Genomic DNA, 17,613 nt, shown 5'->3' with positions numbered 1-17,613 from the left:
ATACCTTTGATTTTTTTTAAAGAGATAAAATAGCTTTGTGTTATCTCCTATAATCTTTATAAATCCTTCACTCGGTGCAAGCTTCCTGCCGAATCTCTGAAAAACATATCACATGACACAAAACCACCAGGTTTCATGATGAAAGAAGAAAAGCATCCAGTGCACTCCAAGCCCACCCCCACCTTGATACTACTTGTTCACAAAAGACGGGTTGTGGCTCTTGGGGATTTGTTGATCAAAGTTCCAGTCATGCTGACTGAAAGGGTGTTCTGTTTTCAAAGTGATTATTGAGCCACTTTAAAAACACTTTAACTTGTGGGTTTGCCTCATTCTATTTGAGTCCAGATTTCACAATAATGTAATGAAGGAAGCCCTGTGGTACTGCCTGTGTCATCTTAATTTATCAGGAAACCACAACCTTGCACATCTTTTCCAAGTGACTTTTTTTTTTTTGGTTTGTTTGGCCACGATAGCCATGTTCAGGGCTGTTTGGACCCTTCCTGGTTTGGTGCTTGGCCTGGGTTCCAGGGTTGAAGGGCCAGTGCATCAACTCCACAAGGTTCTGAGTCTCTCTTGGCACCTTTAGAACTGCCTGCTCTCTGTTCCTTCTATCAGGTTTCAGGCACTCCTGTGCTCTTTGAGTAATCAAGGTTTTATTGTAAAAACCCATTCAAATCCCCAAAGAGCTGTGAAATATTTGTTTCACTTTTCTCTCTGCTTCAGTGGGTATTTTATGTGAACTGTAAACTTGGGAAACATAAAAAGAAAAAATTAAAAAGAAATATGTAGGCTTGGTAAGAATCAGAAAAAAAAAACCCACGAACAATGCTTCAGTGAGTACACTACGAATATAGAATGCATTTAGCCAATTTGATATATTCTTTACATTTTCTTTATGATTTGTTCCTGTTGGGATGACTGAACATTTATTTAAACTGTAGATAGGATCTTCATGTTACTTAAGGACTTGACTACTCTACTTTTAGAATTTTTTAACCAACTTGAAAAGGTACTTAGTTATACTGAAAGTGTATTTTAAAAGGTATCTGTTGTTTCTTTTAGGAACATCCATTTCTTTCATCTCTACTTTTATTCTTTTTTTTTAATCAATTTTCATTTTAAGTTCCGAGATACATGTGAGGGATGTGCAGGTTTGTTACGTAGGTAAACGTGGGGCATGGTGGTTTGCTGCACAGATCAACTCATCCCCTAGGTATTAAGCCCAGCATCCCTTAGCTGTTCTTCCTGATGCTCTCCCTCCCCCGCCCCCGCCGTCAGACCCCAGTGTGTGTTGTTCCCCTCCCAGGTGTCCATGTGTTCTCATCGAGGAACATCAACTTCTAAAATTTTTCTGAATATTTATAGCCCACAAAATGTAAAGGACCTGAATTTCCATTCATGATTTTGTAATAATTATGTTTTTACATAATTTCAAAATGCTACAATTCTAGATATTTAATATTTCTAATGTACTTTATAAAATTGAATTCAGAAATTTACAGATTCTTCTTCTTATCTAATTTCTATTAACGATGAAAGAATTGAATTACCCACATTGTAATTGGGAAACATAAAAACACTAAGGATGTAAATAATATCTACTGTACACAACATTTTAAAGAACAATTGTTAAGCAGGTAATGCGACAGAAAGAAAACCAGACTGAGTTGCAGGAGATGGGAGTCTTCTGTGTGATCCCAGGAAAGTCACCTGACCTCTCTGAACTTGAATAATTCACATTATTTCACTTTTTGCCATACCTGCATAAACATATTTATTTATTTTTTAAAATCAACTTTGGGAAACACCCAGCTAGATGAACTTTATTTTATTTTTTTAAATAATTTATTTAATTGACAAAAAATTCTATGTATGTATGGTATACAAATGATGTGTTGAGAGAGAGATATGTATATATATAGTAGAATGAATAAATCAAGTTAATTAACATATGCATCACCTCACATACTTATTTTTTTGAGGTAAGAACATTGAAAATATACTCTGTTAGCAATTTTTCAAGTAAGCAATATACTGTTATTAGCCATAGGCACTGTGCTGTACAGCAGACCTCTAGAACTTATTCTTCCTGTCTCATTGATTTGTACCCTTTGACCAACATCTCCCTATTCTCTCCCTGACCTCCCTACCCCTGGAAAACACATTATACTTTCTGCTTTTATGTATCCTACTTGTTAGATTCCACATATAAATGATATCATTCAACCTTGTCTTTCTGTGTCCAGCTTATTTCACTTAGCACAGTGTCTTTCAAGTTCACATGTTGTCACAAATAACAGGTTTCCTTCTTTTTCAAGGCTGAGTCATATTCCATTATGTCTAAATACTACGTTTTCTTTCTTTTTTTTAAATAGGGCATATTCTTTTAATTTTTAATTTTTGTGTGTACATAGTAGAGTAGGTGTGTTTATTTATGGGGTATATGAGATATTTTGATACAGGAATGCAATGCATAGTGATCACATCAGGGTAAATGGAGTATCCATTACCTCAAGCCTTTGTGTTATAAACAATCTAATTATACTCTTTTAGTTATTTTTAAATGTACAACTAAATTATTTTTTACTATAGTCACCCTGTTGTACTATCAAATACTAGGTCTTATTAATTCTCATTTAAATACCACATTTTCTTTATCCATTTATTTGTTGATGGACACTTAGGTTGATACAAAATCTTAGCTATTGTGAATAGCTCTGCAATGAACTTGGAAGAGCAGGTATCTCTCTGACATATTGTTTTCATTTCCTTTGGATATATAATCAGAAATGGAATTGCTGGGTCATATGGTAGTTCTAATTTTAATTTTTTGAGGAACCCTAATACAGTTTTTAATAACAGCTGTAGTAATTTACATTCCCACCAACAATATACAGGGTTTCCTTTTTTTTTTCACAGTTTCACTAGCACTTGTTATCATTCATCATTCTGATAATAGCCATTCTAACAGGTGTGAGATAATATTTCATTGTGTTTTAATTTGCATTTTTCTGATCAGCAGTGATGTTGAGCATTTTTTCATATACCTGTTGGCCATTGTATGTCTTCTTTTGAAAAATGTCTATCCAGTTTTTTTTTGGGGGGGGTGCTAGATGAACTTTAATGTTCATACTTATTTTATATATATATCCAATGAAAGTCAGCCATGAAGATGGGCACCCAACTCTATAAATCTTTGGTTTTCCTCTTTTTAAAATCACTTTCTATGAAGTTGTGGGGGATGTATAATGAAGCAGCAGTTCTTTTTTCCAGTTTTGACCTGACTAGGTAAACAATCCTCTCTTGCATAATCAAAACAAATTTTTTCATAACATTTATCTCACACTCAGAGAAAATATAAGTGACTAAATGAAACAGGTTACATACCAAAGGGAAAATCTTTGTTCTTTTGTCTATTCAGGAAAGCCATATATTTTTTAGCTGACCAATTTCTTTCTCAGAGTTCATATTAATTCATATATCTCCATGCTGGGTTTAATCTTACTTAGCTTGTAAGTGCGGTTCTTCATCCCTGTCTTTTCTTGATGTTACTTGTGGCTCACAGCACTTAAAGTTCCTTAGGATGTCTCAAATTCTTGAGATTTCTGGACACCTTTTTTGATGTTTGAAATCAAAATGTTGACTTGTTTCTGTGAAAAGGGAAAGCAGTCACTGCAAGTCATATATATATATATACACATATATACACACACACACACACACACACACACACACATACACACACACACACACATAATTAAAAAAGAAATCTGGAAGTTGCCAAAGGAAGTTATGAGAATGCTGAAAAGCAAGAGAAATACCCTGCAGGAAACCAAAATTTCGAAAAGGCAGGGATAAGAAAACCTCAGACATTCCGGAAGTTTTACATGACACCCAACAATTAGGTATATTTTTTATTTTGGCCAACCCATCTGCTATTTTGAGGTTTTTTTTTGTTTTTTTTTTTTTTTGGCAATGCTGATGACATGCTGTCTTTCATATAAATTTACTGCTTTTACCCTTTTTGGAAACATGCTCCTTCTAATTTCCCTTAACACTTGAGTCACTGGATGGAGGTAGAGCAGGATAGGAGAGGGGAGGAGATAGGAACAGAAAGGGTGCTATTGATAAAGCGCTGCGCAGAGCCAATGAAAGTCAGCCATGGAGGTGGGTGCCTGGTTCTACTGAGGATCCACTTCATCAGCAAGCAGGCTCTACTGCTTGGGGTTTTCTGATGTAAAGAAATGAAGCTACATGTTTTTCTAGTGATGGATTTATCATTAGTTATACACATATTTTTGTATGGGCCTTTTTGGGAAAAAAAGGGTTTGCTCTGAACATGCCCCTTGCTCAATTGTTAGTAAAATAATCTTTCTATAATTGAGTTTAATGGCCATTTTAGGAGTGGAAAAAGAAAGACGTGGTACTATCAAGACATTGTATAAACAAAGGTTATTATGCAGTGAGAGAGAGAGAGAGAGAATCAGAGAATGGAACCCACCTTAGGGCTAACAATTAAATTAGAGTGGGATCTTGACATGAATATTTTTTAAAACTCCTAAGATGATTTAATGTATAACTAGGCTTGTGAACCATAGATAGAAAATTGAGACTGATACTTAGCTGTTTTTATTTTCATTTAAACCGTAGTTATTATAGATTTTTAAACAAGTTGAGTGTTATGCCAATGTTCTTTTAAATATTTTTAACCTGTTCTGCAAATAGACAGCAGGCTATAATGGCTTTATCTGTTTAGAGCATTATTTTTTAAAAAGAGATATGAGGCCAGGTGTGGTGACTCACACCTGTGATGCCAGCACTTTGGGAGGCTGAGGCAGGAGGATCACTTGAGGCCAGGAGTTCGAAACTAGCCTGGGCAACATAGGGAGACTCTGACTCTACAAAAAATAATATTAAAAAAATTAGCCAGGCATGGTGGTGCACACTTGTAGACCTAGCTATTTGGGAGGCTGAGGAGGGTCATCTGAGGCCAGGAGTTTGAGGTTACTCTGAGCTATAATTGTGCCACTATATTCTAGCCTGGGTAACAGAGTGAGACCCCGTCTCTACAGAGAGAGAGAGAGAGACAGAGAGAGAGAGATCAATAAACAACCCTGAGCTACCCCATCTTCTAATTCTGTCATATCTTATGCACTGTTTTCTTCCTCCAAATGAGGTTAGCATTCTGGGCTGATACTATCTAAGAGAAAAACAGACCTACTTACAAGCCTGTGGAGAGAGATGTATTATAAAGATATTGAAAATTTTATTTTATACCCTGGGTAAAATTAATTAGTTAACTTGAAGTATGGCTGAGTTCCTTACTTGAGGAAGGGTACCTCTCCTATGGAAAGGTAAAATTTAATAATAAAATATAGGAAAATTAAATCCTTAAATTCAGAAATAAGACAAGGATGCCTGTTATCAAAGCTTCCATTATACATTATTCAGAGGTCATAGTCATTAGAGAAAGGCAAGAAAAACTAGTTATAAGTAATGGGAAGAAAGAAATAAAACTACCAGTCTTACATACCAAAAATCCACAAAGCTCTACTGACAAATTATTAGAATTAATTGCAGAATGCAACATGATTACAGGATATAATCTCAAAAAAAAAAAAAACACCCCACATTGCTATCCTTTATACTAGTGGCAAAGAGTGAACATTTAATTTTTTTAAATGACATTACCATAGCTTCAAAAATCCCAAAACCTTAGGAACAAACCTAACACAAGTTGGGCTAGAGATTTATAAATAAACTTACACAACTCTATTTAAAGGCAATTACAAACACTTCAGTAAATAGAGATTTAAAAAATATTTATGGGAACACACCATATTATATACATGTTGTATTTTCCCAAATTAACCTACAAATTCAATCACTCCATTTAAAAATTCTGTGGAGAGTATGTGATAACCCAATTTAAAAATACATATAAAAATAACAAGGGTATAAGGAAAGAAGAAGAAGCATATTAGAGGGACTTGCAATAACTTAAATGAAAATGTATTATACAATTTCAGCAATTAAAATGGTCTGGTAATGCCATAGAAGAGACAAATACATGAATAGAATAGAGTAGAATTAAACGACAGGGGTGGCATTGCTGACTAGTGGTAAAGTATATACAATGCAATGTATGATACTAGAACAATTGGTTGTCTATATGAAACAATAAAATTGAATATTTTCTATTCATAGAATTCAATTACAAGTATATTAAATGCAAAAATCAAAGCTTTAAAATTTCTAGAGGGAAATATTAGAGAATATGTTTATAACCCTAAATAAAGTGAATTTTTAAAGAAAACATAAAAAACTCAAAGAAAACAGAGCGGATAATATAAAGAATTTAAATTTTTGTACATTGAAAGACTGTATAAATAAAAGATAAAGACAATCCACAGACTTTGAAGGTATATTTGCAATGCATGTAATTAACAAAAAATTAGTGTCCAGAATATAAGAACTACCTTCAATAAGAAAAAAAATTTAAAAGGACATCAACAGGTAATTCACTGAAAAGGAAAGTCAAATAGACAATAAACACACAAAAATATTCTCAGCTTACTAAAAATCAGAAAAATACAAATGAGATGCTATTTCATGCATCTGCCATATTCGATGATACAAAATGTGGCAGGTAGGTGAAGTAGTGGACACTCCTCATCTGCTGGAAGGAACATAATTGGTGCAACCACTTTGAAAAGAAATATGGTGCTATCTACCAAAATAAAAGATGCACATTTTTATGGCCCAACAATTTTATTGTGAGGTATATACTCCATAATAGAAATTCTCATGTATTCACACTACACACACACACACACACACACACACACACAGACACACACACGAATAAAGATTTATATAGGATTGTCTGCAATAGGAAAATTTTTTAACAACCCAAATTCCTTCCAGAGGAAAAAGAAAAGATATTTAGCAGTTAAAATGAAAAAAATGACAGCAATAGTTTTTATCCCAGGGGATGGGGGATGATTTTACCTTCCCCAGAGGAAAACTGGCAATATCTAGAGACATTTTTGGTTGTTACTATTCGGGGGGGATTGGGCAAGAAATATTACTGGCACCTCGTGATTGTGTGGGTGGAGGCCAAGGTTGCTATTACATTTCCTATGATACACAGGACGACCCTTCACAACAAAGAAGTATCTGGTCCAAAATGTCAATAATTCTAAGGTTGAGAAACCCTGAATTAGAGCTACAATCAGCATGGATTAATGATAAAGTGAAGATCATTTATTAATTTTTTTCTGTGATAAATTGTGCTTTTGGCGTTGTACTTAAGGACTTTTCACCTGACTCAAAGTCTCTTGTATTTCTTTTAAACATTTTAGTTTTATATTTTACCATTTTATTTTGTTCAAAATATTTACTAATTTCCATTGAGACTTCCATTTTGAGGCATAGGTTAAATTTCTAAATATTCAGGAATTTTACAGATAGCTTTTTGTTTTATTTCTAGTTTACTTTGGTTGTGGTCAGAGAACATAATTTAAATGATTTAAAATTTTTCAAATTTTAAAGATTTTTTTTTTTACAGAGGTCCAGGATATGGTTTATCTTAAAGAATAATTCATTTATAAAACATATATATATCTTGCTATAGTTGGGTACAGAGATTGGTTAAATGCGATTCAGGTCAAGTTGGTCAATAGTGTTGGGTCTTCCATAAATCTATATTTACTAATTTTATGTCTGTAAAATGTTCTATTGACTGCTGAGTTGAAGTCTCCAACTATAATTGTGGATGTGCTAATTTCTCCTTACAATTCTATCCACTTTTGTTTTATGTATTTTGAAGCTCTATTTGTAGGTACATACACATTTAGAGCTGGTATCTTCTTGGTGAGTTAACCATTTTATCATTATTTTATGTTCCTCTTTATCTCTAGAAATATTCCTTATTCTATAGTTTACTTTGATATTAACATAGCTCCTCAAGCTTTCTTTTGATTAGCATTCACATTGTATATCCTTTTCCATCCTTTTACTTTTAACTTATATTTGTATCATTATGCTAAAAATTGGTTTCTGATAGATAGCATATAGTTTGGTCTCTTTTTTATCCAATAAGATAATTTGTGTCTTTTAACTGGTGTTTAAACCATTTACATTTAATGTGTTTATTGATATGGTTGAATGTAAGTCTAATCTATGATTATTTGTGTTTTGCTTATCCTCTCTGTTTTCTTCTGTTTCCTCCTTTCTGACTTCTTTTGGATTACATGAATATTTTTCAGTACTTAATTCCAATTTATTAATTGGCCTTTTGACTATATCACTGTGTTACTTTTCAATGGTTCAGTGGTTGTTCAAAGAATTACAATATACAGACCTAACTTTCCAAAGTCTATTTAGAATTAATATTTTACCACTTCAAGGAAAATGTAGAAACCTTGCAAGCATATTGAGTTCTTTAATCTCCCTTCTTTATTTTATAGTTTTTATATATCTTACATCTACATACATTGAGAACCCTGTGAAATAATGTTATAATTTTTGTTTTCCATAATCATACATGTTTAAATACTTAAAAGCAGAAAATCAGTCTATTTCTCAAGATATTTACCCTTTATTATGCTTTTATTTCATTTATGAAGTTTCAAGTTTCCCTCTGTTATCACTTTTCTCCACCTTGAAAAGCTTCCTTTAGCATTTTTTTAAACACGCCTGCTGATAATGAAGTCTCCTAGTTTTCCTTCATCTGAGAAGGCAATTATTTTGCCTTTATTCCTGAATGATAATTTCAGAACTGACAGTCCCTTTTTTCCTGACACTTTAAAAATGTTGTGACACTCTCCTCTGGCCTCTAAAGTGTCTAATGAGAAATCAGCCATCTTTCAAATTGTTTTTCCCCATATGTAATGTGTCATGTTTTCCCTTTCTGGTGGCTTTCACACGTTTTTCTTTATCTTCAGTTCCCAAAAGTTTAAATTTGATGTATCTGGACATGGTTTTCTATGAGTTTATCTTGTTTGGGGTTTGCTGGGCTTCTTGAATCTGTGAATGTATGCCTTTCACCATATTTGGGAAGTTTCTATCATGGTTTATGCAATATTTTTCTACACTAATACTTTTCTCTTTTCTAATTATGACTCTAGTGACACAAACATTAGATATTTTCCCCAATGGTTCCTGAGGCTGTATTTATTTTATAAAGCTTTTTGCTCTCTGTTCTTGGATAATTTGGATGAAGTGAATAATTTTTGTTGACTTGCCTGCTAATCCACTGACTCCTCCATCATCCCCATTATGTTACTGAGCCTGTCCAGTGAGTTATTTCAGATATTATTGTTTTCAAATTCTACAATTTGTATTTGTTTTTTTATGCATACAAATAAATGTTTGGAAAAATACAAAAAAAAATTTCCATACATTTATTTAGTGTTCACTTTTACTTTATGGGAGATAGTTATAACAGTTGCTTAAAGTCTTTGTTTAAAACTTCTGTTTCTGAGATCATGGATGCTACTATATTTTGGAAATTTTTCTAAATCTTTTTTTTTTTTTCTTTTAGACACAAGGTGTCTCTCTGTCACCCAGGCTGGAGTGCAGTAGTGCAATCATAGCTCACCGCAGCCTGGAAATCCTGTGCTCAAGCTATCGTCCCGCCTTAGCCTCCCAAGTAGCTGGGACTATAGGTGCATGCCACCACTCCTGGCTATTTTTCTAATTTTTTGTAGAGATAAGGTCTTGCTTTGTTGCCTAGGCTGATCTGGAACTCCTAGCCTCAAGCAATCCTCCTGCGTCGGCTTCTCAAAATGCAAGATTATGGGTGTGAGGCACTGTACCTGACTGGTTCACTTCTTTGTTAAACAGCTAGTGTCCGAAAAAATTATTTCATTATGACATTCTTGGACATTCTGGAGTCAATGATGTCCAGTAAAAAGAGTAATAGTCAGGACTTCTATACTGTTCCCAAATTATATAGTCAGACATGTGTGTTCATTTGTTTTTCCATACTGGGAAAACCACAGCAGAATATCAGCTGTGCAGTCCACTACACCAGGAAACTCCATAATAGAACTCTTTACCTTCAATTTTTTCTTACTAGTCATTTCTTGGCTCTGAATATTTACCACCCACTTGTAGTCATCTCCCCTTCTCTCAGTTCCTCCCAACCTTCCGCTCTCATTCCTCAATAGTTTCATGAGTAGATTCCATATTTGGGCCAGCTCTACTCAGAACGATCATCAGCATCAGCATCAGCATCACCTGGAAGCTTGTTAGAAATGCAAATTCTCAGGTACTCCCCATAGCTACTGAATCAGAAAATCTGGGGGTGGGGCACTGGAATCATCTTGAACAAGATTTCTATTATTATTTTGCGCACTAAAGTTTGAGAAGCACTAGTCTAGAAATTCATTAAGCTCATTTGACTGGTTGGAGGAAAAATGGGGAGGAGGTAAAATTTAGCAAGTGAAGGACGGGCCAGAGTTGATGTCAACTAACAGAGAGGAGGGTGATCAGACATGACAACTCTCAAACAGCAAGGAATGGGTATGGCAGGCACTGAAAAGCTAATGCAGCTGGTAAAGTGTGGTTCTAACATTGGCTGTCAGATCTTTTAATGATGTCAGACGGTAGGCACATAGGGCAAAGGAACATATTTGTGCACAGATTATTTCAGGAAGCTACATAAGTATATGCATGAACAATTTCACATTGTTTTTGTAGAGTAAGAAAGTGAGGAGTATTTTTTTCTGCATCTTATTGATAAATAGGAACAAAATCTCTGAAGTGACCTGATCAAAGTGACACAGTAGTAGCAGAAGTTGAAACTCTAGTTAGAGTTGAAGCCTATCACACCGTTCTGTGACTTCAGTAACTGATAGGTGAGGCTAGACAACTCCTACTGTGAGCAATTTATCACCAACCCTAATAACCCAAAAGATTGGGTAATAGAGTACTGCTGTATTCATCTGGTAATACCTCCCTTGTCACCAAACTCAGAAACGATGACCGAGCAAATGGTAGTTGCAGAAACTGATTACTTGTTCAGACGATGTGAGTCCTGGGGGAGGTGAGTCTTCAAAACCTCCCTTTATGCATTCAGCACTTTTAAAAGTGCTTATTTTCTAGAAACAAAAGTTTTACTGTTTTCAGATACTGGTTCACAGTAAAATTGAAAATGCAGTTGTTAATCAATCCTCAATCCCTATGGAAATCTTACCACAAACTTTGGAGTAATTTGTCATTTATTCACATTTTCAACAGGCAGAACAGACTTTGACCCAAGGTGCTTAGGTATAGCCTTGTTTATATAATAGTTAAGCCTAAGATTTGAGTGTCAGCGTTGATAGGTAGTGTTAAGGTGGAGATAACAGAGTCTCTAAAGCCAAATTTTGCTGTTGAATGTAGCCTAATTTATCTTATTTTAATAGCTCCATTCATTTTGCTTTGGGAACCTTTCCATTTGGTTTTCTCATCATGATTTGCTGTGATATGCAAGCTTAAAAGGTCTAAAAGTGAAAAGACTAAAAGAGAGGGATTTGGAGATCTTGAGGTAGAGTTTCCCTAAAGCTATTTACACGGCTGCACAGTTATCATCCCAGATGTCAGAAATGAGAAAGCACCTCTTGCCGTAGGAGATGGAAAAGGGGAAAAGGAACCGAAGAGAGGAGTTGAGGCAAGTTCCTTTGATAGGTCCCATGACTGATGTGGAGTGGATCAGGGAGTCTTCTTTCCAGAAGCGTGAGTAATAGGATATCCCATCATCTTCGTGATGGGATTATGGAAAGCCAGGCATATGGGCTGGCTATTCTGGAAGATGCTCTCTGTGTGCTCTAGACCATAGCCAATGCCTTGATTAAAACAAGAGAACAACATCCAGACCTGGAGAAACAGCTGGCCCTGCTAACAAGGCAACCTGCCTCCAAAGCTCCAGGTAGGATGGATGATCAGAACTGAGAAGGGAGACTTGGGTAAGAGCAGGGCAGGGGGAGCTCTGCGTTTTGGTGACAATGACCAGGACTTGGGAGTAAAGTGCCATCCTAGGGAGGCCAACCTGAAGCCATCGGATTCTGACTGTATTCAGATAAGGAACATAGATACAGAACCTCCCCTTTGTGTCAAACAACTCACTTTTTTTCTTTCCTAGAGTCTGTCTGTCTGTCTCTCTCTCTCTCATGCCAGATTTACTTACTACTGGGTAAAGAGAATAGAACCAGTCTGTGTTTCTTTCCTTCAGGCAGGCAATTTGCAAGCCCTTGATGTATTTCCACCCCTGCCAGCTTACTCAGGTCTTCTCTTAAGCACTGAGCCTTGTATAATGCTCCAGCGTCTATGTACAGCCTGGCCAACTCTTTTCTGTCCTGTGTGAATGCACTCTGCCCTTGCCACTCTCCCCAGTTTCCAGAAAAAAGAACAGGCAGATGAATGGAGGGTCAGGCACCCCTAAGCTGGCACTAGGAAGTCTCAATACCACGTCAATTTCTGCCTTTGAATTTACCTTGTGTGCATCTCTACCCTGGAAAATATGTCATTTTATGCTTTATGTCAACCAGGTGGTAGAAAATTGTGTGGGGGGTGGGGGCGGAGGGGTGGAATTCTTCTTAATTTTTCACTCCTGCTGTCTTCATGGCCAAACCCTATTATTCTGCTGTGGCTGACTAGTACAGGATTCTGGAGTAATAAATAATTTGTTTCAGTCCCTCTTACGTTTTCTGACAAATTCTCTATCAGGTTTTGCTACCCCTGTTAAGGCATTAATCTGAAGTGTCGCCTGCTGACGCTAGCAACTGTTGGTATAACCTGTCACTGCTTACAGAAAAATCCAAGAGAAAAGACATCAGATTCAAAGGGTTCCCCTCCAACTTCTTTTTATATCGCCAGTGCCAAAACAGCGTATAGCACAACTTGGCTGTAAAGAAGAAGTGCAGGGACCAGATTTCACTATCATTAAATAAAAAGAGCCATCTGGGAAATCTTGGTGTCCTTAGCAAGCTGTCATTGACTCCTCTCCAGCCTTCTCTTCCAAAGCCAAGGTTTCCTTGGGATTGTTATCATGAGTAAAAACAGCTGGTTTTCCTCCTATGAGGATGCTGTGTGTGCCAAGCACAGAGAGAGCTCAGAAGGCAGCCGTGTACCAGGTTGCCTCGCGGTGGGGGTGTGCTGGACAGTTATCAGGTGTTTCATCACATTCCCACACAGTTCTCAAAGAAGTTTTGGAAGCAATTTCATCCACTGGGGCATGATAATGAGGAAGAGAGTTCTCCTGGCCTGTAGCACATATCTCCTCAAATTCGTCATCACCATCAAAAGGTTTTCATTTACACCTTTATGCATCTAGTGCTTTGGTGTAACAGTGTAAGTGGAAAACATTGGGGGTAAAACACTTTTTGGGTGTGAAAACGAGAATTTCCTTGGTTTGCATTGTTTTCTATATCCCTTTAATGCCGCAACTTGGAAAGTTACATGCCTGAATGAAAGGGGGTTACATAGTCCCAGAAATTAAGTTACCAGATGTGATTTTAAAGTATGATATAAAAATAACCTGACATCAGCATTACATCTAGGCAGGAATGCTGTCAGAGAACGCTACGTTAGAAACACTCTCCTTAAATGTGTTTTTCTGCAACTAGTCACTAAAATTGGCAGTGATTTCTTGTGCAGTGTAGGATTTCTCTGTTTCACCTTTAATCTCTAAAATCGGTTTCTAAAATAATGTCACTTGTGGGTGAATGTGGGCCGCTGCTGTAGAATTAAATACCCTTCTGTTTCCTTTCGGGGAATCGGCAAGACAATCACCTGGGAACACTGGACCAAATCTCCCTGGACTGTTGAGATTTATTAGGGCAGCTCTCTATGGAGCCAGCAAATCTCAGATCTCTGGCAAATGGACCATGTGCAGACTGAGAAATGTCACCATCACACGTTTACACATTCACAGAAGCTTTGTCTGATTATCATTTAAGTCTTTTGGGATGAGCATTTCTTTCCAATGCTAGTAGGTCAGATTGCCCTTATGAACTAGGATATTGAGAGCCTTTAAAAATTAGTTTTTAGGAGTCCTGAAATGCTCCCTTTTCTTATATACTGCCTCAATTACTTGTTTTGTTTTCTTTTGTCCAATGACTTATGTTGAAATCCACAGTAATTTTTGTGGAAATTACAGTGTCTTCTAAGTCAATGGGAACAACTGGTTTTTCTCTGCTTCCCCACTGCTTGAAAATCAGAGAGAGCTCAGTCCTCAGTGTTTTTGTTTTCTTCTGGACACTTATGTAATTGAATTAAGAAAGGATTCAGAGGCAATAGATGGTAGAAGCGACTTTATGCAGCGAGAAAATGAAAGGTTAAGGAGAGGAGGAAAACTCTATGAGAGTGAAAATAGAACTATCTATCTGGAATTATATCACATGATGTGCCCCTTTCACTGAGTGATCTTTGGCACTTTATTTCAGTAAAAATAAAATGGCAGGTTGAGCATTGTTGTCCACTATGTTAGGTTTTCCTAACCCTGACGTATTTCCATTATCAGTTTCTCAAAGTGTCAGAAACTCACCAGAATAGCCTTCAGGATGTCCTTCTTTTTCTTCAAAGATACAGTGTGGAAAATATGGGTTTAAGGTAATAAGAATTTCTGTTGGAATGCAAATATATCATCTATGAGGAATAATTTATTAAACCATTGTTACCCTAGAAAACAATAGTGTATCAGATTGCATTACTTAGCTAACGGAATTCTAGGAGAATGGGATGAAGGAAAGGTCAACTTTGAAGAATGTTTGGTGTTCAGTTTATAGTGGGTTGACTTGATGGACTGTTATTTTGGAAAGGTGATAAGGGTGATCCTTGGGAAGGGAAGTAAGAAGGAAAACAGAATATACTAAAGATACTTATTTACTCAAAATTTTGCTGAGAGCTTTCTCTTATTTTAGGTGAATGCACAAATGGAAGTCTTAAATCATTCAGCATATGAAAAATCTGAAAATAGAGAACTAAAAGTACAAATTTCATTTTGCTAAACTGGTTGTGCATTTATTCTAAATTAAAAATAGACAGGGCCATCCTTGACTCTTGACCCAGTGCATTGTGTGTAGACAATCTGCAGAGACATGAGGGTCTACTTTCCTATTCAAAACTAAGGAGGATTTTGGAGACAATCCTTCTTGTGAATAGAGCAAATAATTTAGCTCCTAAGCATCCATCTAAAGCAACAGTAGCTTTCAGTGGTTGTTTTAATAGATTTACACTAATGAGATAAAGCCAATGTGATGATGTCTGTGATTGTTTGTTGGTCTAATCTAAAAGGTTACATGCTTTTGGCATTTCAGTATTTGTCCACAGTCTACAAAATTCTTTACAGTGAATCTTCAAAGAAAAGGACAGGGGAGAGGTGAAAAAAAAAGATCAATTTTCGCATGTTATCATCAGGTTTGGTGGCAAAGAATGTTAAAAAATCTCAGCAAAAGTGTAATTTGGGATAAACAGCAGATTCAATTTAATCATATTTTCTCTTTCCCCAATAGGAAAGATAATGAAGGGTTGGCTGTTGACATTAGTCAATAGACAACACTTATTATTCCTGTGCAGTGAAGTGTTTCATGAGGAAGTGCTGAATAGGTAGACAAAGAAAATGAAATGTCCTTTGATGAAAAGACTAACACAATACAATCAACGGTAGAAATCTTCCCACCAAAATCAATAAAAAAGAACTGTGTAATATTTTATTTATTTATTTTTTTGAGACAGAGTCTCGCTTTTTCACCCAGGCGGGACTGCAGTGGCCCTATCTCGGCTCACTGCAGGCTCCGCCTCCTGGGTTCATGCCATTCTCCTGCCTCAGCCTCCCGAGTAGCTGGGACTACAGGCACCCGCCACCGCGCCCAGCTAATTTTTCGTATTTTTTAGTAGGGGTTTCACTGAATATTTTTTTAAAAAAATAATTTGTCTAGATCATCTGGTTAAGTCTGAAGTTATGAAAACACTGTACCTAGAAAGTGACTTTTTTTTGGTTATAAATGGTAGCTATACAGTGGTTGAGAGAGTATGGACCATGGGAATTTTGTAGCAGGCAAGAAAGGTTAGAACACTATCAGTCCTATGAACTGTAGAACTTGTGGCAAGCATGCAATCTTTCAAAAAATTCATTGAAAAAATTTCACTGAAATCCATACAAAACTCGTAAGATGTGTCAACTTGAAAAGTTTCATCGTCATCTTGGTTTTAGATGTCTGGCTTAACTGTAAATTGAAAGAGAATCTTGTTAATTGTACTCTATCTCACCAGAGAGACAAAAGTAAAATATGTCATAATGTAATTGAGGCCTCCTTTCTTTCATCCAGGAACTTTGGACTTTCATTTTTTTTAATGTTGAAACTGAAATGACTTTTATTAGTTAATTTTGTGTGCCTTATAGTAACACCATCCAACCCTCACTTAGAAACTGAGACACTTCCAACTTAAAAGCAACATTTAGGCAAATGGTGAAGCAACATTTTTGGGGACTCAAGTATTTAAAGGTACTTCCTTACAATTCTTCAGTGTCTCCTCACAGTAAACATGCAGCTAATTTCCTGTTCTCTCCCAAGTGTAAAACATTAGTCAGTCACTTAGCTGTTCCCTTTGGGCCAGAGGACCCGTCTCATTTAGATGAGTCATTTTGTGAGGCTCTGAAGCAAGTTGGTGGTGAAAGAAACTATTCTAAAAGGGATTTTGTCAGCATGGTTTGCACAGCTAATTGATGATGGCAAATCTTAGAACCTTAAGGAGGCAGATACTTGAGTAAAGTGAGCAAAATGGGGCTTTCAAATCTACTGTTTTCAAAATATTTTTCCAACACACTTCCTATAATACTTTAAAAAAAAAGACATCATTAAGATTCTGTATAGACATAAAACACTTTCTGATTTTTCACTTGACTCTCTGATATATAATCTAAAACATCTAGAATATCATGGTACATTTAATGTAAGTAAGTCCTGCTGGACCTATGGCTAAAGAGCTAGGCCCATCCATCTATGAATATTTTATGGCAAATTTTACTATAGAATTAAGATACTTAAAAGAAAAGCAATAATACAAATGTGTGGGCAGAAGATCCTCCTAACTCAGTGTAAAATAGTGATAACATGGAATTCAGGGTGAGAAAAGAGAGGGTTTGCTTCCAAGAATTATCGCTCTGTCTCTCTCTCTCTCTCTCACACACACACACACACATACACACACAGTGGATTAAATAGGACCAGAGTAGGAGAATTTACTTTTTCCAAAGTGTGAGAATCCTTCAATTTCCTCAAGTTCTTTCCCTCTATAATAATCTCTTTCAGACTGTTTTCCTTCTGTAATAGTCCCCCTTAGTAGCCTCTCTACAGTACTGATGCAGACAAACTGATGGCTAAGTAAGGTTTGTCTTTGGTATTCCCATTCCTGTCCTCTTTAGCACCATATTTTCCAGTTTGGCACCATCTTTTCCAGGCTTTCTTGCTATCTCCACTGATAAGACTTCTTGTTTATTTGGTGCCTTCTTTCAACCCTGACATCTTCATCTCAAGCAGTGTTTTACTCTTCCAACTTCCACCAAAGATGATGTGTTCTGTGTGTTGTCTCAAAGTCTTGATGGGTGGCTGAGTCAAAGATATA

The 17,613-nt window shown here is 36.2% G+C and overlaps 2 long non-coding RNA genes across 5 annotated transcripts in view; one reads left to right on the top strand and one right to left on the bottom strand.

Annotated features, from left to right (window-relative positions):
- LOC102724861 (uncharacterized) overlaps positions 1 to 17,613 on the bottom strand; it is a 168,179-nt gene that overhangs the window by 32,793 nt on the left and 117,773 nt on the right. For 2 of the 4 annotated variants that reach the window (NR_187735.1, NR_187734.1), the window contains exon 3: positions 3,388 to 3,650. This is a non-coding gene — a long non-coding RNA (uncharacterized LOC102724861). Of the gene's footprint in view, positions 1 to 3,387; positions 3,651 to 14,533; positions 14,612 to 16,148; positions 16,215 to 17,613 lie in introns of all 4 variants that reach the window. The other 2 variants (NR_187737.1, NR_187736.1) reach the window with 2 other exon arrangements.
- LINC00607 (long intergenic non-protein coding RNA 607) overlaps positions 1 to 17,613 on the top strand; it is a 231,974-nt gene that overhangs the window by 161,943 nt on the left and 52,418 nt on the right. The gene's annotated exons all lie outside the window — the stretch shown is intronic.

Source organism: Homo sapiens, chromosome 2 (genome assembly GCF_000001405.40).
Source record: "Homo sapiens chromosome 2, GRCh38.p14 Primary Assembly".
In the NCBI taxonomy this organism is placed as follows: domain Eukaryota; kingdom Metazoa; phylum Chordata; class Mammalia; order Primates; family Hominidae; genus Homo; species Homo sapiens.
This window is presented reverse-complemented; position numbering and strand designations above follow the sequence as displayed.